The 24,668-nt window shown below is 36.3% G+C and overlaps 1 protein-coding gene and 1 long non-coding RNA gene across 26 annotated transcripts in view; one reads left to right on the forward strand and one right to left on the reverse strand.

Moving 5' to 3' along the window:
• NRG3 (neuregulin 3) overlaps window positions 1–24,668 on the forward strand; it is a 1,111,986-nt gene that overhangs the window by 333,176 nt on the left and 754,142 nt on the right. For 12 of the 25 annotated variants that reach the window (XR_001747009.3, XM_017015573.3, XM_017015577.3 and 9 more), the window contains one exon: window positions 24,373–24,450. The exons of the other annotated variants lie outside the window; for them this stretch is intronic. Coding sequence is in view for 11 of the 12 variants with exons in the window: in XM_017015573.3 (XP_016871062.1) it covers window positions 24,373–24,450 (78 nt within the window). In the remaining variant the exon portion in view is untranslated. The remainder of the gene's footprint in view (window positions 1–24,372; window positions 24,451–24,668) is intronic. 25 annotated transcript variants of the gene reach the window in all.
• NRG3-AS1 (NRG3 antisense RNA 1) lies at window positions 20,645–24,551 on the reverse strand. The gene is made up of 4 exons (NR_120666.1): window positions 24,371–24,551; window positions 24,111–24,249; window positions 21,842–21,996; window positions 20,645–20,659 (listed from the first exon to the last, which is right to left on the reverse strand). It is a non-coding gene; the product is annotated as an NRG3 antisense RNA 1 (long non-coding RNA).

Consider the following 24,668-nt stretch of genomic DNA (forward strand, 5'->3'; position numbering starts at 1 on the left):
ATGACCAGCAAGATTATAATAATAATTCTGGAGCCACTTTACTATTATTGTCTCATTTATACCTCTCAGCAGAGGCTGGAGCACATGGGGACTATGCCATTCCCATAACCATATGTTTTACCACCTTGCTCTTTGTCCTGTAGATGAGCAAGCAAAGAAGCATACAAAGAGCATCCTATAAAAGAGCACGAACAAAGACAATGTTTGAGGAGCTCTGTTCTTTGGTCTTCCCAGAGTAAATATCAGCAATAGTAGGAAAAAGTGTTTAAAACACGTATGAGGGGAAAAAAAAAAACTACAGGAACGTCAATTACAAATGATTATTTTCAAAAATAAAACCTTCTAGCTTTTAACTAGTTTATCGCAGAGCTAAACCAATACAGTTTCATGCCTCATAACAATTTAATAAATATTACTAAAATATGGCAACTGCTACCATGGCTCATTAGCAAGCTGTTGGTGTAATATAAAGTTATCCAGAATTGTTTTGGGTAGTTGGTTTGTCAATATAATGCACACAGTAATCTCTGAAGAAAGTCAGGAACATATGGTCCATGTTCATCAGCTAACCCCAGGGGACTGCACCAGAATCTCTCTTCTTACAACTACATGACGTTGAGAGGAGAGCTTGAGAGAAGATAGGGAAAAAAAGAATGGGTGGAAAGAGAAACATTGATTACTCAAACCATAAAATCACACTTGCAAGCATAAATCAAGAATCACAAAGCTAACATCTTCAAGGAATCTGTTAAAATACAAGTTGAACATTGTAGCATCAGAAATTCTCAGAATATGAATTCTGAATCTTGCTTGGCACACAGCTAAAGTTAATCATTTCAGCAGCAGCAGTAAAATGCTGCATATAGCATGCTACTGGCCAACATAAATGAATCTAATGCCATCTATTTACCAAAATCAAGATTCCTTTGAATATATTTTCAATAATTTATATGCTAAGATGTACATACATATTACACTCTCTCTCTCAAAAGAAACGTCATATTTTCTAATTTAAAGAGACATATCTTGTCCAATTAAATTCGTTTGAGTAGGAAACTGTAGAGTTAACAACTGTCAATGATCATCTATGTATAAGTAGAATTATACACTTTAAAGATTATGTTTATTTAATAACCATCCCTATTTCCTGTAACTGGGCAATCAGACATTTTTTTGACCCAAAATATGACCACTGCATTTTGATAACTCTAACAGCACAAGATGAGGTCTGGCTATTAGAGCCATATAATGATGGGTAAGTATTTTGTTTTCTTGGGTGCTTTCACAGTGTAAATATTATCTCAGAAGTGGGTTTTTAGGGCAATTCAAGTAGGATGCTTAGGAATGTACTTTTCTTTATTTGGAAAATTTTCTCAGATTTCATTTGCTCAGTTTTATACCTATTGATCTTTCATTTTAATTTTATCTAAAAACCTTTCAGTTTTGCAGTGTGTCACAAGTCTGTGTAAGCTGCAGCTTCAGCCATCTCTTCCATGCAATGTCAATCTTGGGTCGTGTGAAGCATGTGGCTTTTTGGAAATTTTCTAAGTAATGTAATTGATGCAAAAAAATCAAGGATATATATTTTCAATAGCCAAGATAATAGATACATAATCCTTTCAATTAAAATTTGTGTTAATTCAAGGAAGGGTAGGATCAGCATATATATTATGTGTTTATCAAGAATACTCTCCTGAGAAAATTCATGAAATGAGAAGTAACAGGGAGAAAGTTGAAACATTGCTATAACATATCAAAATGAGAGGCTCTGCATAAATGAATTTATAAGAAAACATTAAAATTGCCAAGTATAAAGACTTTACAGATACAGAGTTAATATTACCTTTATGTAGACATTTGAGGCTTGGCCAGGCTCTCCTCAATGAGTCTATTTTAAGGTAAAGTTATTAAAGTCCGGCTCCCATCTCACAGATATTATTTGAAGTTGTTTTATGTGGAAGCAGCCTGCCTCATGTGATTGCACTGTGAAGCTCTCCAGCTAGAAGGCGGCTATGTGACTTGAAATTTAAATATAAAGCAAATTCAGTCAGGTGCCAAGGTGCCAGCCTGCTGGACCACCATATTGGGAGGAAGGAGAAGTGGAGGGCAGGGGGTTGAATGGAGATTGGGTTGTGCGAAAGAGAAGATTTCAAACTTTGGGGCTGGAAGAGCACAGGGTGCTGCAAGAAGCAATGTGTTGGGCTGAATAATTCATGATGCAGTACTAATTTTGACTCTGGAGAAAATTGCTTTCTCACTGTGCCAAAAGCTAGGCAGTGAGACCAAAAATCAAAGAGGAAGCTAAATGGAGGGGAGAAAACACCCTAAATCAACACCATATCAAATTGACAAACTGTTTAAGGCTGCAAAATGTATTGTCAAAACATGTGAGTAGATATTTTAAACCTTACCTAAAATTGAGCATATTTATGCCTACTTATTTTGAGCAATAATAGGTAGATATTAAATAATTATTTTCAAAAGTAGCTCCTTGATATTAATGCAGAGAGTTCCAGTAAGGAAGTAAGCATTTGCATTTCATTGGAACTTGGTAAAAAAAAAAAAAAAGGCTGCATATCTTGGTATAGTGTAAGAGATCCATCATCATTTTGTACTTACAGAATCATATGGGTGCCAGAAATGACCTTTTGAGCTAATTAACAGAGCTGCCATAAATATGGAACTTGATAAATGTTAATATTTATTGGATTCCTAAAATCCAGATGGTCTTCCTTGTCTTTTCATTCTCTTTGGAAGATAATATTAAAATAAGAACCTTCTAAAATGCAACCTTAGGCATCTTTTCAAAGTCTCATTTAATTCTTTTCTTTAATGGTTAGGAGGACTTATGAGCATTTCTGAGGAAAAGTCGCTGACTGCCTCTTAAGCCTTAACCAAGCTTTAAACTTTAGGGATTTCCACTCAGATTTAACAACATTGAGAATTTTGGTCCTAGATTTCTTTTTCTTTAAAGAGTTCTTTAAAGAGTTAAAGAAACTTCTGGGCAGGAAAATACAGGAAGCTTAGAATGAAGATGGTTGAGGTGTTGTCTTCCTCCTCTTCTTTCATTTTGTTTGTTTTGCTTTCAAGAGAAAAGCCAGATACAGCTCTGGGGAGTCGAAAGGCATCCTTGGCAAAGAATGCAATCCCTCCAGAGGCTGAATAAGCGTGCACAGGATGAACTCACAGATAGCCACGCCAGTCTCCCAGAGCAGAGCTGCATTTCCAAAAATTCACTTTCTGGCAAAGATGAGGATTTTCCTGTAGTGGTTTGCATTGCTGAATGGGGCTGAAGAAACACCAGTCTTCAGGACTATTTGGAAATTATAGTTAACAAAATCTAGAGAGCCATGAGCAATCCAAAGTAAAATTCAGTTGAGTGTGTAGAGCCTTCCACATGAGAGGGCATGGTATGTAATTTGCTTCACTTAATACAGATTTTGGAGACAGGGCAGCAGGCTGGTGCACAGGGCATATTTTAGAGGGACCATAACACACCCCTATACTAGAAATGCAGTGTACTGTGTCTCCTCACTAGAAACCTAAATACAGCCTCTGAAAGGCTTGTCCCTTGGGTGACAAAGATTGCTGAGGTTTGATGGAGTGCTGTGCTCTCAGTATGGAGTAGGGGGTGGTGGAAACAGGAGGCATATATTTTAGTTCTAGGACCTCCCTACATTTACGAGTTCTTTGACTTTGGACCAAGTCATTTCAGTTTGCTTGGCTTTCTTTTCCTCATATGTAAAATGATCATTTTATGTTAGTTTGAACCATGGGAAATAGCTGATATTTGACTAACCTATAAAAACAGCAATTTCACATGGTTCAAACTAATAAATGCTCTTGAGACTTGTTCTGAGGAGCAAAGAAGCACCTCGTTGTAGATAAACACATGCATGTAAATTGTGTCCTCTTCCTGCTCCAGTTACATCATCTATTGAACATTTTGTGGAGTTTCAATGAGATAATATTTGGAAAGCAAATAGTAGCACTCAATAAAAGTCAGTTTCTCTCATCATGATTCCACACACTTTAATTTCAACTACTGTTTTGAACTTAACACTTCTCCAGTGTTTTACAATTTACAAAGTGCTTTCGCATAAGTTAACTGTTTATGTGATTTTTGCAACCCAGTGATAAGACAATGAAAGTTCCAAAAAAGTTGTCACTTGGACTGAATTATCCAGATAGGTAGTAGGATATTGCACGTCGCTGAGTACAACATATGGTCATTGCCCAATACCGATGTCTCTAAATTAATAAAGGCAAAGTGGGCATGTAGGCATGTCACTATCTAGTCTACTAATCAGAAACAGATCAGTGGTCTTTAAATATTTTGATCACACAACTTTTTATGTGATAATATTTGAAACATTAATATATGTGCCATTTATCTATTTAGTATACATTTTCAGTCTCTATAAATTATATATGCATGGCAGATGTAACATCTGATGTGCATTATGAAACATACGTAAGTAAAACCTTTTAAAGGAAAATATTTAAAAAGTAAATATATTGCAAGTCCTAATATTTTCTCCCTGCATTCCAAAGGATTGCACAATTGCAGCTTTTTAAATTGAGATGCAATTAGCACAGACTGGTGGATTTCTATGGTCTTTATTGCCCAGGCCCTACTTTCGGTTCCCAGGAACAAGAAAGTTTTGGGATTTGTGATCAAGTCAGACCAGCTTCCAAGCTTAGTGAAGCTAGAACATAAGCATGCAGCTTATAAGGGAGGACCCAGGTAGAGTGGTAATGAGAGCCTTACTTGTAGTCAGAGCACTTACTATCCAAAACTGTGGCCTCATGCAGGGCACAAGCACCCTCAACCTCAATTTCTAATACGGGTTTATTTGAGGAGTAGAAAAGAATAAAATACAGGTTGAACATCTGTAATCTGAAAATCTAAATCTGAAATTTTTCAAAACTATAAACTTTTTGAGTTCTGGCATGATATCACAAGTTGAAAATCCCACATCTGACCTCATAGTCAAAACACAGTCAAAACTTTGTTTCATGCACAATAAATATTACATAAAATTATCTTCTAGATTTTGTGTATAAGGTGGATATGAAACAAAAGTGAATTCTGTGTTTAGACTTCAGTCTCATCCTCAAGATATTATGTATGTGTATATATTCCAAAATTCAAAAGGAAATCCAAAATCTGAAACACTTGTACTCTGAAGCATGTTAGATAAATGATATGGAACCTCAACCTGTATTCTATTGAAAGCACTTGCTAATCTATAATATACTATAAAATATAAGGTATTATCAATGTGTTTATGTTTACTGTGTATCCCAGCATTTTAAATACTGTAGGCACACAGCATGAGTTTAATGAATGAATGAGCAAAAACATTAATTAATTAAAAATAATACATTACCTTACTATGTCACATATGCTATTTCCAGAAACAGAAGACACAACAAAATATGTTTTCAAAGCAAGTTTTTTTGTTTTGTTATCATTTTATATAATAGGAATCTGGAGGTAAGTAGCACCAGAGTCGGCTTATTCGACTGCTCAAACCCATTGGTAAGAACCCTGGTTCTGTCTGTCTTCCACTGAGCCACGTGGAGGCACTGGGCTCTTTCTCTTTGGCTAGATCTACTGAATTTCTCAGACGCTGCCACAGTTCCAAGCAGCTATGAAGATGGCAGTGTCTGGAGGCATTGGAAAGGGAACATTCTGTTCTGACAAAGTGTTTTTTTAAAAGAAAAGAGGCCAAATATTCACTGAGACTCCCTTCCCCTTAGGCTCAGTGGCTGGTAGTATGTCGTAGCCCATTATTTCACTAGTCCAGGACAAAAGCAATGATGCTAATAGGATTTCTTTATCTTGAGTTTCATGTCTTAGGGTTGGAGAAGGGACCAAGCCTCCCCTGAAAGCTGAGGGGTTTATGGTCAAGAAGAAAGAGTAACTATGGCCACCTTTAGGTCACCAGCCAATAATACTGCTTCTCTATCCTGTTCTGCTGTGACATTTGTCCCAGCAGGTGTTCCAGTCTGTCCTACAGTAGTGAGACCACCTGATATGGTGAGGAAGGCAGGTAATTGATCTTACTCCATCATATCATCACATCTATTTCCACCCCCCGCCCTTGGAGACAAGGTCTCACTCCATCATTTAGGCCGGAATGCAGTGGTGCAATCATAGCTCATTGTAGTCTCAAACACCTGGGCCCAAGTGATCCTCACTGTAGTCTCCCAAGTAGCTAGGACTACAGGCACATGCCACCACACCTGGCTAATTAAAAAAAATTTTTTTTGCACAGAGATGGGGGTCTTGATATGTTGCCCAGGCTGGTCTGGAACTCCTGGCCACAAGTGATCCTCCCACCTCAGCCTCCCAAAGCACTGGGATTACTGTTGTGAGCCACCATGACCAGCCCCATCACTTCTTTTGTAGGTTTGTATTTGTTTTTATTTTTGACAAAGACTTTTATTTCACGGTGACTTCTTCACAAGTTTCCTCAGATGCTAGTCTGAACAAAGGAGAGCAGGGAACTAGAAATGTAGACTTTCTGTTTTTTCCAGCTATGGCATCACTGATCTCATCCATCTTACTAAAGTTTGTGCAGTCTTGATCATTCCCCATTCCCCCAACATGATGGCAAATACCAGTTAAGTACTCATATCTAAAGAAATCCTTTATTAACAGGAAGTTAATTAAGAACATGTACATCTCTGACATTCATCATTACAATGAGTAGAAATTAATTTTTTCAATTTCAGTTAAATTTTATTCAGCAAAAAGCTTTAACCTCTTATAATAAGATGTGAAGAATTATGAGAAATTATTTGCTGTATTTCTGGAACGAATGCATTTAATAATAGGTCAGATGAGCAAAAATGGTTGTAATTCAAATTTGAATAGAGAATTTCTTCGGTGATAGCAAATGGAACAATATGGCTTTTATAAGTAATATTTTGATTTTAAATTATTTAAAATATTCAGATGCTATTCTAGTTTTAATCCACTTTTTGCTTTCTTTCCCAGCATCCTCTGAAAGTTTATATGCTAGAGGTCTCTCCTTCAGCCACTCCTTGATCATCTCCAATTAGAAATCTATTTATTTTTCATCAGAAATGATCAATGCTACAAGTCTGATTAATATGAGTGGTGTGTATATGTGTGTGTGTGCACATGAATTTTAGACAGTTTTCTGCAGAATCATCTTCTGTTACTATTTTTCAAGACAATACTATGACAAGCCAATGTGTTCTGAATAAATTATGCAATCGATGGGTGAAGCAGGCATTTGCTTTCCAGTATTATACATCCCAACTTGTATCACACAGGCAGACTTCTGTTGACAACACTATTGACCTATATATGAAACTTTGAAACTCTGTTTTACATTTACAAAATTTGATATTTCTGATATTCTATGGGCTTCACTTTTTGACATCATGCCTTTGTACTTTTATGCAATTTGATAATTATATTCAGCCCTTTATAAATAGTTAAAATAATGTTTAATCATCTATGGTAAATGTGTAAATTCCTTACTACACACTTTCTGATTTTGTGTGTGATTTGTCAGGAAAAATTCGTGGTTTGTTTATATTTTTTATGTTTTCCTTTTTTTTTTTTTTTTTTTTTTGAGACAGAATTTCTCTCTTTTGCCCAGGCTGGAGTGCAATGGCGCGATCTCGGCTCACTGCAACCTCCGCCTCCCAGGTTCAAGCGATTCTCCTGCCTCAGCCTCCCAAGTAGAGTAGCTAGGATTACAGGCACACACTGCACACTGCCACTACTGGCTAATTTTTGGTATTTTTAGCAGAGACAGGGTTTCACCATGTTGGCCAGGCTGGTCTTGAACTCCTGACCTCAGGTGATCCACCTGCCTCGGCCTCCCAAAGTGCTGGGATTACATGCACGAACCACTGCGCCTGGCCTTTTTTTTTATGTTTTCTACACAAGACCAGATTATATTTTTTAGAACTAAGGAAAAGGAGCACTTAGAAAGTGTGGAAAATCAATGACCTTGCAATTTGATATATACTCTGGAGTATACTCTGAAATCTCAATAGTTTACAGACAAGATAGTAGAAATTAGAAAATACATTTTATATATATGTGTGTGTGTGTGTGTGTGTGTATGTGTCTCTATCTATACATATACACACACATATATGCACATATATGTGTGTGTGTACACATATGTATACATATGTATGTATATATCTGGGTGTGTGTGTGTGTGTGTGTGTATAGATATATATAGATATATATATATATATACCCTTGTGCTAAGGGATATATTTTCTAATATGTATTCATGTATTTTTATAAATCTTAAATTTTCTTCAGTCTCATAGCTACAGACTCTGTAATGTTTTTTGTTAAACTGAAAATAATCATCTCTGGTGAATCTTTCTAAACTGTGTATTTCTAAATGTTTTTACCAGTATTATTGTGTTTTTGGAATCACATTACTTTTTAGTGTAGTGATAGCAAGTATAGCGAGTTAATGCTTTTTTTAAATTAGCAAATTAATGTGAAGATCAGATCTCAAATATCAGGTTGTCTGATCTTATTCAGTATGCCATTTGGCTTAAGAAGTTCTCATTTTGTTTCTGCAGTTCACTCATACTGAGCAAATCTAGACAAAACAAATCCTGTTGCTCACTTGGAATTTAGATAATTGTTTCACAATTCAAAGAAAGAAGTTAATTAGCATGACTTTTTTTCAATTAAAAGTTATTTATTAAATTTTCTTTCCTGAAACTGTTCATTTCCTAGGAAGGTCTAGAATGGAACAAATATAAAACTAAGAAACAGCAGCTTTTACTCCATGTGACAAGGTTTTGTTGAGGGTGCCTGTGGGGCTGGCCATATTTGTCATGTGTGTAATGTGGCTGTGCCTCTGGCAAGCTGTAAGCTGGTAGTTAGTGTGGAGTCTGCATTCCAGCTACCTGGGTGCCATCGCTCTTAACACACTTCTTAGCTCAGATGTTCCAATATTTGTTCTCCTGACCTACAACATTAGGACCACGTGGGAACTTGCTAGATTCTGAGGCTCCCTCCCAGACTTTCTAAATTAGATACTCTGAGGGTGAGGCCCAGAATCTGTGTTTTAATGTGCTCTTGAGGTTATTCTGATTCCACCTAATGCTTGAGAAGCACTGCCCTAGCTTCTGTCTTGGGCAACACTCCTGAATCAGTGCCTAGCTTTTCCCAGCTGTAAAATGTAAAATACAACATTTTTCTCGTAGAATTATTGTGATAATTCAAGAAAATCATGTAAAGTTATTTCTGCAATAGTTGCCTAACAGATAGAGTGCTCTAAGGACACTGAGCGTTCTTCAAAAGCAGTATGGCCTGTGTGCTCCCATGTCTGAGCACATTTGAAAACCAGCCTCTAAAATTACACTTCCTCCTCTATCAATGATTGCAGAATCGAATGTTGCAAATGCATGGCAGTAATACATCCTTTGAAGAATGAAGTGTTATTAAAATTTCATTCCATAATATTTGTATTAGTTTTGTATTACTCAAAAGGCCTATCTTATTTTACTTTCTTAATGAAATTAATTTTTATTTCACTATGAATATTTTTTTCTAGCCCCTACTTTCATTTCCAAATTTTCTCATTTTCTTTTTAGTCTGGATATTTCCTAGATAATTTATTTCAACATTCTAGTACTGTATAATCTCAAATACCCAAAGAAAATACATTTTTTGAAATATTGATGAACTAAAACCAATAGGTATGAATGAGTCGATCCTGTGTTTAATCTACATGTGAGATATCACCTATTCTATTCCATGCAAATAGGAAGGTAAATATGATGAAGTCATTAATAATAACGAAATAAGGCTATTTTATATAAGAATTTAGGTTATGTCCCATACAAATTAACAGCATAATATTACGTGATTAGTCTTCCTGATACTAATATTTTCCTAATTTATTCTTTTCACCAGCTGCATTAAAATTCACCGCAAAGATTCAGTCCAAGGTTCTCACAGGGAACTAAAGGTTAAAATGTGTTTGTTAGCCAATATACAAGACTCTGTAATCTTATATACTACATTGGCAGGGACTGTTGGGATTCAGTTCTGTTCAGCCATGGAGGACACACTCTGTGTTGCCCTGAGACTGTGGAAAATACAGCGTCTATAACATATCCCCTTCTTACAGAGGTATGCATCTTTGAACTCAGAACTCTCCTTTGCTACTCTCATTCAAGACACTGTACAGCCCAGAACTTCCAGCCTGTGGGTTTTTCTCACCCCCTTTCTCTGCCTGAGCCCTCTGCTCAGGGTGGGATTTTCATGATCTCCCCACATATCTTTCTTCTTCTGTCTCTGCTTTTCCTCTCTTCCCAAAGCTAGAAAGCCATCTCCTAGCTTAATTACCACCTCCCATGATCTTGTCTATTTGTTGCTATTAATCTGACCTTAATAAAAGTGTTTCCTGAGATTTCACCTTATGGACATTTGGATTCAAAGTAAGGGCTAGAAATGGAGAGTTAGACGAAGGATAGATGAGCTGATTGCATCTAGGGAAGTCAAGGAGTTGGGCTTGCATTGCAGAGAATGGCTAAGAAAGGAGACCAATCTATGGGATACTTAAAAAACCTATTAAATCTGAATATCTGAGTTTGTCCATTATTAGAATTCTTTCACTAAGTGCTTCTTAAAATGATCAAAGAAACGTTTGGGATTGTGAGAAAAACAGAAACATTGTCCTGTGCATATATTAAGTGTGCTATATCAAATAATATTTCATCTTTAGCCATCAGTAACACATTTGTTCTTAGTATATATATGTCAATCTAAAAAGGGTTTCTCAACCTTAACATTATTAAATTTTTAGGTTAAATATTGTTTTGTTTGGGTGTGGGCCGCCCTGGCATTGCAGCTTCTCTAGCCTCTACATACTAGATGCTGGTAGCTATGTGACCCCTCAAAAAAATTTTTTGGCAATAAAAAATATCTTCAGACATTGTCAGATGTCTTCTGGGGGGCGTAGTCATCCAAACTCGAGATTCGCTGGTCCAGACTGTAAAAATTATCAAACTACTCTTGGGAAAGATGAATCTATTTTAAGATCCACTTGCAAGCTACATCTACATAAATGTCCATTAACCTTTAGTACTTTGTGACCTGATTTTGTGTTTCTTCTTGCATGATTATTTTTTGGGCCCTCAATATATATTTGTTAATTCTATTTCTTCAGTTTCTCTAGATGCTTTATCTGGCCAAATAGTGTATCATAGCAAATTAGTTCTAGAACCTCACTTGTCTTAATATTAGTTAATTGGAATTAATATTTGTTAATTCTATTTCTTTCATTTTTCTAGATGCCTTATCTCGCCAAATAGTGTATCCTGGCAAATTAGTTCTAGATTCTCAATAGTCTTATTATTCGTAGGTACACAATAGTCCAATGCATTAAAATGACTTTCCTTTTAATAGTTCTACGTGAATAAAAATGTATTTCCTGGCAAATTTCACCTCAATGCTGCAAATCCATTGAAAAAGGGAATAATACAGTATCACGATACAGGGAGAAAAACTTAGAAACACAATAAGATATACATACACACAACTTTACGAGAGTAAATAATAAGTAAAGATATATATGTATACACACACACATATACTGATACAGATCACTGCAAGAAAATCACAAATACCAAAGTCAACCAGAAGACGTGAGTAGAGAAAAATAGACAACAAAACAACAAATAATGCAAATTAAAGTGAGATAATCATTTTGCTGTCAAGATAGGAGAAAAACCAAGAGTGGGAAGATATTATGATTCTTCAATCATGTGGGCATGTATCTTTACTGTGTGTGTGTGTGTGTGTGTGTGTTTATCTGCTGAGGGCCTTTGAATACTCTTTCCTTGCTCAGAACAAATAGACAAATATATAATTAAGGCACCTAACAATACAGACCATATTTTCAGGGATATAGCAACTAAAAGGTCTTAGGAAGGCCAACTCAAATCCAAGCACATGGATTCCAGCTGGGGACAGGAGTGAAAGGAGTGGATTTCTTGTGTCTGTGAGCCTAGAGTGAAAAACAGCTTCAGGAAACCTTCACTTTGTTATGTATGGGATGAAATTGAAATCAAGTGTATTGTGTTAGGGGGATCCTACAGGAAGAAGATCTGGGAGATTTTTCTTGAGGTTTGGGGGCAGGCATTTAGCTGAGGGTGGACATTGAGGAGAATCTGGAGGGCTTTTATTAGAAATATGCTTCCATACCTTGCAAAAAACTCCAAAATATCACACCTGTTTCTCAATACCACATGCTTTGTACATGCCATATAACTATTTTTGATTACCAAATTTCATTTTGAGTTTTGATACTAGTTTTAAAATTACAGTTATAGCTGAGCATCATAGCCTGTAGTCCTAGCTACTAGGGAGACAGAGGCAAGAGGCTTACAACACAAGCCTGGACAACATAGTGAAATCCTATCTCTACAAAAAAATATTTAAAAATTAGTCAGGAATGATGACTTGTGCTTGCAGTTCCAGCTGCTTCAGAGGATTGCTTGAGCCCAGGAGTTGGATGCTGCAGTGAGCTATGATCATACCATCACATGCCAGCCTGGGTGACAGAAGAAGACACTATTGTCTCAAAAAATAAAACAACAGTTGTTCAGGATCATTAGGAATATATTTAATCAATGCTTTTTCAGAAATGGTGGTTTAAAAATAAGTAGGCTAGGAAGGAAGTCCTAAGTAGGTATTCTGGTCTCAGACTTGTGCTTCCTGCAACACCTTTAATATCTATAAAATAATTAGAGTTTTTGATTGTGGAGTAGGCTTGATTTGGAACTGAGGATTTTTTTCTAGACATATATTTTAATTTGAGTTTCACTCACTGCCAAAAAAAAAAATTGGCAAGACAGAGAAAGAGGAAAAAAAAAAAACAGGCCACAAAATGTAAAAGTCAAAAGCAGTCATTCCAAATTTGTGTCTTATATATTCTCTCAGACTTTGCTGTCTTCTTTATGTTTCAACATTTTTCAGATAGCATCATTAATGAACAGCCTTCCAGCCCCCCTCCATAATGCAGCTTTTTGATCCTAGTGCCCAACTGGCTTCAATCAATTCCTCTGACCATGCAGTTTATGACTCTACAAAACCTGCCAGGACTCGTTTCCTTAGTATTAGATGCAGGCAGGTAGAAATTGAGAGATGATTCCACATAATGCTCATCAAAGCAGAAAAAAATCAAACCTAATGCACAACAGGGTTACAAAGAGAAAAAGTTAAGCAGTCTGTATTAAAAACAAAAGGAAATAACAGGGACAGAAGAAAAAGAGAAAATAAAACAAGTGATTTCATGTAGGTGCTATAGAATCTTTAACCAAACCACAGGCTCTGATGAATGATCTCTTCTGCCTGAGACTCAGGACTGTCATGGTCCTTATGTCCAGGAAAAGAGCCAGCTCTTTTATTGAGTTGCCAAGAGTTGTCACTGAAGCCATCCTGAAGTTTCCTTGCTTCTAGTTAGATAGGAAGAGAAACACAAATACATTCTCCCTCGGGACGGACACTTCCAAACTAACCACTCCCATCCAGTGGTAACCTACTCCCAAATCCTCCAGGTGGCCTACTACACCCTGCTTTCTTCTGCTTGCAGTTGCCTGACATGACATTGCTCACCCTTTCTTCTTGTAAGTGTTACCTTTTTCTGTGTCCCTTTGTTATAGATGTTTGGCCTATAGTGGAAGGGCCTTACATTTGTGTCACATAAATCATGTCATGTTATTCAGCCCATTACATTTTATGTCAAGTAATACCTTATGGTATTTTACCTTTATCAATATAAAACAAATTTCTTTTGTTTTAAGTTTTTGCCCTAAACTTCAATATTATCTGGTGATGGAGTGGTAAACAGGCTCTTCATTCATGGAGCTTATAATCTAGTGTGAGTAATAGAATAGAACAATTTCTTAAATAAATCAGGAGTTAACGCCGATTGTGATGAGAACTCAGGAGAAGTGTAAGGTATGTTGGAAACAAGGAGCATAAGTTGGATGAGCGATTTAGACAAGTATTCCATATGGGACAGACAGTTCTGCCTGTCTGAAGGACACAAAGGATGTACCAAGGTTATGTTTCTAGACCCAGTTGATTAGACCCCTGGGTTTCTGCTCTTGAGACATTGCCAGAGGCCAAATTAGGCCAAGTCCCTGGGTGTGTTTGCCTCCTGTAGGGCATTTCTAAAACCAATTACTACCTTCAGATCAAGAACATTTTCTCTTATAACATCTCTTGAATTGTTTGGGTTCTCCTTTTAAGAATAACAAGTCATCCCTGCAAGCTCTTTATTTTCTGTTCTCTGTATCCACCGTGTTTTCCCTATTTTTGTTTCTTTGTTCTTTTCTTCTGAATTCTAGGTAGACTTAAGTTGGTCTTCCAAATTGTTGGCATCAATCTGGCTCTTCAGTGCCCCAATGTGGATTTCTAGTATGATTTTCCGTGGTAATTTTCTGTATGTCACATATACTTTTTACATCCTAATATGTGGCTTTATTTTCCTGTCCTGTTCTCTTCATTTTGCTTTTGGCTAGCTTGTATAGAAACATGTTATTTTTGCATTTGTATGGAAGTCATGTTGCTTTTGAATTGTAACAAAATTGAAATTTTCTTCTGGATCCTGCAGTAGATTAGCAGAAAATCTTCTTTTTGAGAAACTTAAGTATTTCCTCTCAGGATTTCTTCAGTTAGCAATTCACTAGGAAACAGAACCCGAAACAATTCTTTCAGTGTAGATTCTTTATTGAAAGGCAATGCATGGGACAGCCAGAACAACCCTGTCTACTCCAAAGGGGAGAACAGTCAGACGTGCCTGCAGCCAGCCCCAGCAGCTGCAGCTGGAATGCCGGAGAGCCAACCAAGGGTCTAGAACATGGATAAAGCTGAGATAATCTCAGGGTGTGTGTGTTACTTTGAATGTATCAGAGTACTTAATTTCTCAAAAAAACATATCACAAGACAGGCTGTCTGTTCATATAGGTAATAGTCTGCACCCTAGATCTGTATTTGGAAGAAGCTTTTCTACAACTGCAGGCCAATTGCTATTCCTGGTGGGTATTTACTAACTCACTTCTGCTTCACCTTGGCCGCTTTTCCCCCTGGCCTATCAACTCAGTTGGAGAGAATCAGAACTGGACATTTTGAACAATGGAAAAAATTGATTTCCTCCTAAATATACTACTAGGGTTTTTGCTGCCTTTGTGCACTCAGAATGCAGTGTAGTAATATTCCAGCAACCACCCCAAACACACACACACACACACACACACACACACACACACACACATACACACCACCCACGTTCTTCTGGATGCCCCACTAACATATACAGGCACACACTTCACAGACACACACTCCACGTGTTCTGCCTAATTTCTTGGTATTCTTTTCTCTTATAAATGTAGTCAACTAGCAGGAGGGCAGGAATACCAAGGAAAAGGAACCAGAATTCTGGCGCTTCCAGAAAGCAGCACCTTAGGGCTATAGGCACAGCTATTATTTTTTGGCCAGATCACAACCTGTAAGAGATACAAAGTGAGTCTGTTTCCTTTTCTACATAACCTCTGTCTTATCATGACAGAAAATGTTGCCGGATTCTGGGCCAAAGTATGAAACAGCATCAGAAAAGCCAGTTGTGTCATCTATCCAGGGATGCCACCATGTGAGAACAAGGTCCCCTAATATTCTAGAGTGCCTGGCCTCCATGCAGGGACAATTGTGTATTTATTTACAAGAATGTGAGCACCAACACTGCAGAGTTTAGGCATTTATGTTCATTGCCGTATCCTCAGCACTTACAACAGAGCCTGGATTCTAGGAGGTGGCTAATACTTTATTTTGGTGAAATATTTGATTAGAGCAGTTATGTGATTATTGGCTGTCTTCCCCTAGACTAGGAGTTCCCTGAAGGCAGCACTATACTCTTTTCTTTGCCAGGTTATCTTCTGCTTCAGGTACAGCATCTAGAACATAAAAAGTAAATACATATCATTTTATGAATAAAAAAGCACTTTTAGAATGCAGAAAGCAGAATGACTAGTAGTATAGCTGTGTTCATGTCTGCCCCTCAAATAAACTAAGTGACCTGACGATAGTGACTCTTGTATTCATCTTTGAACTTCTGACAAACCCAGCACAATTCTTTTAAGTAAGTCCTTGCTTACTAATTATTTGGTTGAATAAGCAAACAAATGGAAACATCCATAATATTAGCAAATATGATGCAAGACATGAAAAGCCTTATGCATTGAAATCTACATGACTTAACCCTAGAAGGCTGAAGTGATACCACACCAGGAAAATTACTAACTTAACAGAACACATCAAAATAAAACATTGTTCAAATCTATATAATTATCTCAATTGCCAAAAAAGTATCTGATAAAAATTCAATAGCTATTCATCATAAGCACAGTAAAAATCATAGGAAAGAGGGTTTCTTTTTTCACAGGGGAAAAATTAAATGTTTCAACAAGCATTACCTTTAATGTAGAAATATGAGACTTTCTAAAACAAACAAGAATAATATGAACATAGCTCACTTTACCATTGCTGCTACAATTATTTATTATTTTAATAGTAAAATTATTAAATATTAAGGAAAAGAATATTAAAAATAAAATCACCAGACCTCACAATATTCAGTATACTTTTAAAAATGAACTTGCAGGAAAATTGTTGTTTCAAATGTGTTTACTAGGAAGAAAAAAATGCAATTATGTAGGATTATGATTAAGACCACAAAAGATAAGTAAAAATGATACATTAAATGCTAATGTGGGGAAATAGAAGACAAAAGAGATGCATGTTAAAAAATTACAAGTTCTAACTACGGTATTAACACCTAAAATCAGTTGAATATCATTTGCAAGGAAAGAATATCGTTTCTTTAAAAAACATATGCTACTTTTTCTGTTATTACCACTAGAAGCTACATTAATTAGACACTGACATATAATAGGATAGACTCTAAGTATAAATTATTTCTCATGCACATAGCACCTTGATTGGTAGATATTATTGTCTTCTTTCTTCCAGGTAAAAGTAGAGGGTGAGAGGATGCTCAGCAGGTGGAGGAAATATACCAAGCCAGGGCACAGGTTTGGTTCTGAATGAAGGGCATGTTACCCTACAACAGTATGAACAAGAAAACATGAGTAACACAAAAGCACTAGATGAACATATACACAAGCGAACATCCTCACACACAAACATCTAGTACAAATAATTAAACTCAGAGTAATTATCAGTGTGATTATGAGAAAGAGATAACTCATGTCCCACACAGATGTAATTAACTATGTGCAAGGCATTGAGTAAGGTCTTAGGATATTCCTCAGGTTTGGAATCCCCTTCCTGCATTTTCACTTGTTAAAATAAAATCACCAAGGAATATTTACAGTGGAATATTTGAGAGAAAGTTTGTATATAGTTTATTTAGTGTTATTTGTGTTTTAATTCTACTTTAGTGTTTTGTTGAAGTATATTAAGATCACGTGGCATATTTCTGTCATAATGTCATTTAGTAAGCTCTCTCCATACCCGTTTCTTCTACGTTATTAATTTTCTTGTCGAGACTTGTATTACTTTTTTATTGTTGTTTGTTCCACTTAAAATAGGGCCATTTTAGTATCTCCAAAAACAATACTATTTCTAATTTTCTTACATTTTACCCCAAGAATCTATCCATATATTACTCAAAAAATTGAAAAAAGGCAAACTTCCAAACAACATGTTAAGGAAATAAACACACTTCAGCATCCAGTTTTCCCTAAAGGAGAAGCAATTACTCCTGGGATACTAAATGAGATTTGTCTGTGGCTCCTCTTTGAGACCAGTTTTCCTCACCAGGGATGACTTATTCATTTGTACATCAAGGAATTCTCAGCTTTCTTACCACTTCTAGAAGCTGGGGACATTTGATCATGTGTAGGACTCCTTACATTTCTGAAACACATCTCAGAAAAGCAGGTATAGCTAAGCCAACATTTTAGAAGTGCAGAAAGGCATTTTCTGGAGGCACACCCTCCAATGCTGCTTTTGGAGTCCTTGTGAGATTTTGATTTGAATCCTCCTTCTGTACCTATTAGCTATTTGAACACTGATGAGGTACTAAACCTCTATGAACCCTAAGTTTTTGTTTATTATATTAAAAATAATGCTAGCCCTTATATCCTAGAATTGTGAGGATAATTATTAGCAGGTCATATGATAGCAAATATTGACTGGGTTCTTAACACACTTCAGGCATTGTGCATGCTATATGTTTGAATCCATCTTTGTATTTAATGCTAACCACTCTATGAAATAGTTGTTATTTATCTCCATTTATAACTAGGAAACTGAGATTCAAATTGCTCATGTAATTTGGCCAAAGTCTCACAGTTAGTTGTCCAGATTCAAATTCCCCATCTATTGGACTCATAGTCTCTATACTTCCAGGATGGTTTTCACACCTATTCAGTGCTCAATAATTGTCAGTCATCACTGTTGTTATTATTGGGAGAACTTTGAAACACATTTCCCAGAAACTCTCAATTGACAAATGTGGAGCCAAGTCTCTTTTCAAGATAGGAAATTTGTCTTGTCTTTTCTGTATATGTGCTATAACATATTGCTTGCCTTCTTGTGAATCCACTAAGAGTCACATGTTGGCGGTATGTATGACATGTTCATGTCTGTCTCCTTTGTCAGGTCTCTCATGGTCCAGACATGAGAAGGTCATCTTTCCTTATTCTTCTTCCTCATTTCCACCCACTGCAGCTTGTACTTGGGCTGTTTGTATCTTGGTAAGTGCAGGAGCGCTTCAGTTCATCATCACTGCTGCTTTTTCCTCTTTCCACATACTGGATCTTGCATTAATGACTTTAAATTTGGAACCATTCATTCTACTGTGGCTGTTGGGCTTTCTCTGTCTTTATAGAGTCTCATTGCAGGAATACTTACTAAGCTCCTGAAAACTGACACACCCTTGCATTTGACAACTGGCTCATTATTATTATTATTATTATTTTATTGTATCATTTATTGATTTTGAACTTGATGCTGGGTTTGATTAAGGGAAAAAACTTAAAGGGTTTTTCTTTTTTAACTTGCTTATCTTTTGACCTTATATCTAATTTCATCTCATGACAAAGAAGAGACATGAAATGTATTTGAGGTGGTACACTGATGATTCCATCTGAATATTGCTTTGTCATTGTTTTGATTAGAAACAATAAATGGTGTTGACAAACTCTGGGAATGATTTTTATAATGAAAGAGAATAGTGAAAGTGGAGAAGTTTCAATAAATGATTTTTAAATAAAATGCTTTTCTTGAATATAAAAAACATGGTGTTGGCAGATGACATTGTAGGAAATATTACTCCAAGATAGACTGGTAAGCCTTTTACCCTTTCCACTTCTCTGTCACTTCTTGTCTTTCTAGAACATCTCATTACTTTCCTTTATGAATTCTTCCCCCAAGGCTCTGGTGTTAGGGGCAGCCTTCATTTTCCATTTCAGTTCAAGGGACTTACCACTTAATTTAAGTTTCCTCAAGTCTGACCCTCAACTCCAAAGTTCCACTCATCATTTCACTTTTTAGAGCAGAGATCACCTGCATGATAGTGTACCTATTGATGGTCCCTGATGTTTCAGAGGCCCCTACTTGTATATTCAGATGAGAATATCAACAGGGCCTTCCTCACATAACTGTAGGAAAAGGTCAAAACCCAGACCCCATAGAGAGACCTGGGACACTTCTAATTTATGAATGCAATTTTTAAAAAGATTTAAAAATTAAATGCTATGACACAAAATACAATACAATAGGAGTGAGTGATTCACAAGATAGTATGAGTATATATAAACATAAATTTATGTGGGTGTTGTAGAGTTGAATTCAAGTTCAAATTTGGGGCTTTTTGTAAATGTGAGTCACAGATTAATTTCTGACATATTGTACCCCTCATTAGGGATACAGCATTATGATAAATTTCTAAGAGAAAAATAACTAAATCACATTGTGGTCATGTTTTTAGTGGGAATAAAACTTAACCTAGAAGAGAAAGCATGTAATGCTTCATTCAAATATGATATTGATTTGCTGTGTGGCCATGGATAAACAACATAACTTCCCAGGACTTTTTTCATTTTTTTTTTATTGGGGATAGTATTAGTTACCACATTGAATGTAACTGGATATGGTGTAAGGACAAATTAATTTGTAGATATGAAATATATTTGAACTATAAAAGACTTTTGGACTTAAAATGGTAATGATGATACAGCCCCCTTTCCTCATGAAAATTAATTTAAAATAACTAGAAGGAAATTCAACCTTTATTGAAAAGAATCTTTGGCCAAATACTGGAAGAAAGGCTCCAGAGCCCAGTATGCCATTTCAGAAGTAGATGGTATGCCCTTCTGAGAAAACAATCTCTTATTTGCAACAATGCACTCTGTGGCAAGTGCATGCCTGGAAGCCACTGAACGTGATGAAGCAACTGGAGGGTCGGAGGCTGAGTCAGGAGACATTGAGACTTACCACTTGTATGAAAGGAGTCAGACAGTGAAGCAAGCTTCAAGGGAAACTCCTTCGGAAGCAGTCCTGAGTGACATCTCTCTCTCGCCTGGGGAGAATTAAAGGCTAAACTAGATATAGGAATACACTTTAATGCATTTCATGGTCAGCCTCTGACAATTACTGTTGTGCTATATCCCACTCTGACCCTCCTCCCATAGTTCCAAGTACTCACTATATTCAAAGGTAAATTACCAGCATATAGTCTATGAAGACTCACCATGTGTAAAAGGGACCATTGCAGCATAAATACCAAGGTATTAAAATAATTAGAATAGAAAGCAGAATAGAAAGCAGTTGAAAAATATTCACCAGAAAAATTTTGTCATGGAGAAAATGAAATTAATTCCCAAATGTATTACTAAATTAAGCAATAGACATTAACAAAACAATAACTTCTTTGAAATAATGTCTCAAAGCAGACATTTGGGAAACAGAAATTCAGGAAGAAATATAGCAAGGAAATAGAAGGAAATGACTGTTAAGCAGATAAAACAAGAAAATTAGTATATTAGTTTGTTCTCATGCTGCTATAAAGAACTACCCAAGACTGGGTAATTTATAAAGGAAAGAGGTTTAATTGACTCACAGTTCTGCATTGCTTGGGAGGCCTCAGGAAACTTACAATCATGGCAGAAGAGGAAACAACCATGTCCTTCTTCACATGGCAGCAGGAGAGAGAAGTGCAGAGCGAAGCAGGGAAAAGCCCCTTATAAAACCATCAGATCTTGTGAGAACTCACTCAGTAGCACAAGCACAACATGGGGGAAACTGCCCCCATGATCTAACCACCTCCCATGAGGATTACAATTCAAGTTGAGATTTTAGTTGAGGACACAGGCAAACCATATTAAGTATAGGAAAGAATAGTAGAAAAGAATGTTACATCCAAAGTTACATTGGAAATAACCTAAAGGAGAATAGAAACGGAAAATATCAAAAAGCATGTGAACAGTGAAAAAATGAAACAAAATAAATTAACAGTGAGTTAAAACAATTGTCAGGATAGATGAAAATAATCTGTTAGAAAATCCAAACAGAAAAAAGAAAAGTTCAGCATATGCATAAGTGGTGTGCCTGAAAAGGAGAAACGAATATATGGAGAAAAAAAATGTTTAAAGTTACTTTTTCCAGATGTGAAGAAGTTTTGAGAATAAACATTTTTGACTTTTAATCTTTTGTTTGGAAGCCCAACATTATGAAAAAAATTATGCAAAATGATCACCGTCAATATCCTAATCCACTTACCTTTTAAAACACAGTCATCCGTTGGTATCTTCAAGAGATTAGTTCCAGGGCTCCCAGAAGATACCAGAATTCACTGATGCTCAGGTTCTTTGGGGTATGTATTCAGAAACCACCAATATAGAAGGCCAACTAGAACAGGGAATCTTTTGGGGAGTCTGAAAGGAGATCAAATCCTAAACAAAGGGTGACTTCAGAATTCCTCTCAGTAACATTCCACATTAGGAAAAGAACAGGTCAATGCCTTTCCAGTGTTTTCAGGAAAAGGCAGTGTAACCCATGTTCCTAGACTCAGTGAATGTATCTTTTAAAGTAAGGCAACTGACAAACAGTTTTCAACATGAAATACTGCTCAGAATCTAGTTGCCAGATTCCTTTAAAAATATTCTGACAATGAAAATGAATAGAGGAATTACAGCAAAAGAACTGTTGATAAACATTAAATATGTTGAAAATATTAAATATTTCTATCTGCATTGATAAGTAAAAATATTTCTGAGAATTATGTTTACAGAACAGAATGAAAATGTTACAAAGAATAATAACATTGAAATAATTTATCTGATACAATTTAGGATGAAAAGTGGAAGAGAAGGTGAGAGGTGGTATGCATATGGTGAATTCTTCATCTTTTATAGCTGAAGGCAAAAAAATGCCACTCAATGGTGATTTATTAAATAACATAGCATAAACATGCAAAGGCATAAAAATGTAGTAAAAGTGTGTAAACAATTAAAATTAGATAATGCAGTAAGAGAAGTGATTGGAGACTAAGTGGAGGTATAAATTTTGTCAGTATTACAGTGAATGGTCAGTAGATAATAAAGAAATGTAGGATTATAAATATTATATTGGCCAGGCACAGTGGCTCATGCCTGTAATCCCAGGACTTTGGGAGGCCGAGGAGGGTGGATCACCTAAGGTCAGGAGTTCGAGACCAGCCTGGCCAATATGGTGAAACCCCGTCTCTACTAAAAATACAAAAATTAGCCAGGCATGGTGGCAGGTGCCCGTAATCCCATCTGTTCGGGAGGCTGAGGCAGGAGAATCACTTGAACCTAGGAAGGTTCAAGTGAGGTTGCAGTGAGCCATGATTGTGCCATTGCACTCCAGGCTGGGTGACAAGAGCGAGACTCCGTCTCAAAAAAATAAGAAATAAAAAAATATCACATTGTATTTAAAAGGTAACAAAAAAGGTAATAGAAAAACATGAGACCTTCAGATTATTAATAGTAACACAAACAGGCACAAAAAGAACAAAGTGAAATATTGAAAAAAAAAACCTAGTATTATCATGAGGCATACTGAAACACAATATAACTAATTCTGAAAATATCTACCATATTAATAAACGCATTATTTATCAAATTTTAATAAGAAAGTTATTTCCACAAGAAATCAATAGGAATGGATATCTGTGCATCACATAACATAGACTCACATTCCATAATGGAAAATCTACAGAAATTTCAGGGCAAAAGAGAAGAAAACATATTAGTTGCAGGAGACATAATTCAGTGTGTGAAAACTGTCAGTAAAAATTAGTAAGCAAATAGAAGACCACTAAAACATGATTGATTTCAAAATGTTACATATCATTGTGTTTTTCTCCATTAAAGATATGTCTTCATAAATTCTCTAAAATTTTTAGTTAAACAGTTTTCTCTTAAATTGGATTAATAGTTTCTGAATTAAGAACATTTAAAAAATATCTTTAAGAAACTGCTTTCAACTTTATCTTTCAAGTTTTTGGCTACTCACACTTAGTCTTCACTGACTCCTACATGAACTGAAACTCTAAGCATAGGACTAAGAGCAAGTATTATAAATTTGAAGGCCCATTTGCAAATTACTATGGTAGGTCTCTCAGTTTTGCAAAGAATCAGATGTTCAGTTGGCTGGGAGGATATAGAAAGGAAAAATAGAGTCCCTTCTCTCAAAACCCCCAAGTCCAGCAGGGAAAACACACCTTATATATCATAATAAATAGAATATGCAAGATAAGCTCCAGTGTATGCAGGGGGAAAGGGACTTTGGTGGAAGCAGCTAAAAGGATCTTGTAAAAATATAAATTAACGTCTTATGATGCAAGAATCCAGCCTGTTTTAACATGGATTGGATGACTTGCTTATCAGAGACTTGGAACAAAAAATAGTGGATATGGATCACAAGTTTTCTGTGATCTTTGGAGGAAGAATATGACAAAATCCTGTATGTTGTCCTTGGGATACCCTCCTGACATCCCCACTCCCTCTGTGTTGCTTGTGCTTACAGTAGAGATGGCTCTTCTCCTAACAGGTGCTCCTCAAATTCCAGATCTCATTTTGCTGTCTTCTCTCAGGTACCTCAGACTTCTGACCGTTTTTCTGGTTACTAATACAGACTTTCATTGTTTTTCTCTTTTGCTGCATCTATAAATATTATGATTTGTCAGAAATTTTGTTTTGTATACATTTATGAGACAATCGGCCAGATGGGGCTACAAGAGGAGACACAGGAGAGACTCGAGAAAATAAAGTATTTTCTACTCACAGGTCCTAGAGACAGGAGGCATGCCATACATGGCAACATGGGGAAGACCAGAGTGGTCAGGAGGCAGAAACAGGAGCAAGGTAAGTTGTAAGGCATGGCCTTTGTTGGGGTTTCTGAGAGAAGGGTAAGGCAGGATAGGATGAACAGTTTAGGACTACTTTGAATAATTTCTCCAGAATTTGGGAAACAGGAGTGTTCTCTAGTTGCCTGGTACCTGGCCCTGGGTTGCTTAAGACAGAAGAATATTGTTTCCAGGGTATGTGGGCAAGGTAGAGGAAATGTGGCTCTGGGTTGGTTA

This window comes from Homo sapiens, chromosome 10, assembly GCF_000001405.40.
Source record: "Homo sapiens chromosome 10, GRCh38.p14 Primary Assembly".
Taxonomy (NCBI): Eukaryota; Metazoa; Chordata; class Mammalia; order Primates; family Hominidae; genus Homo; species Homo sapiens.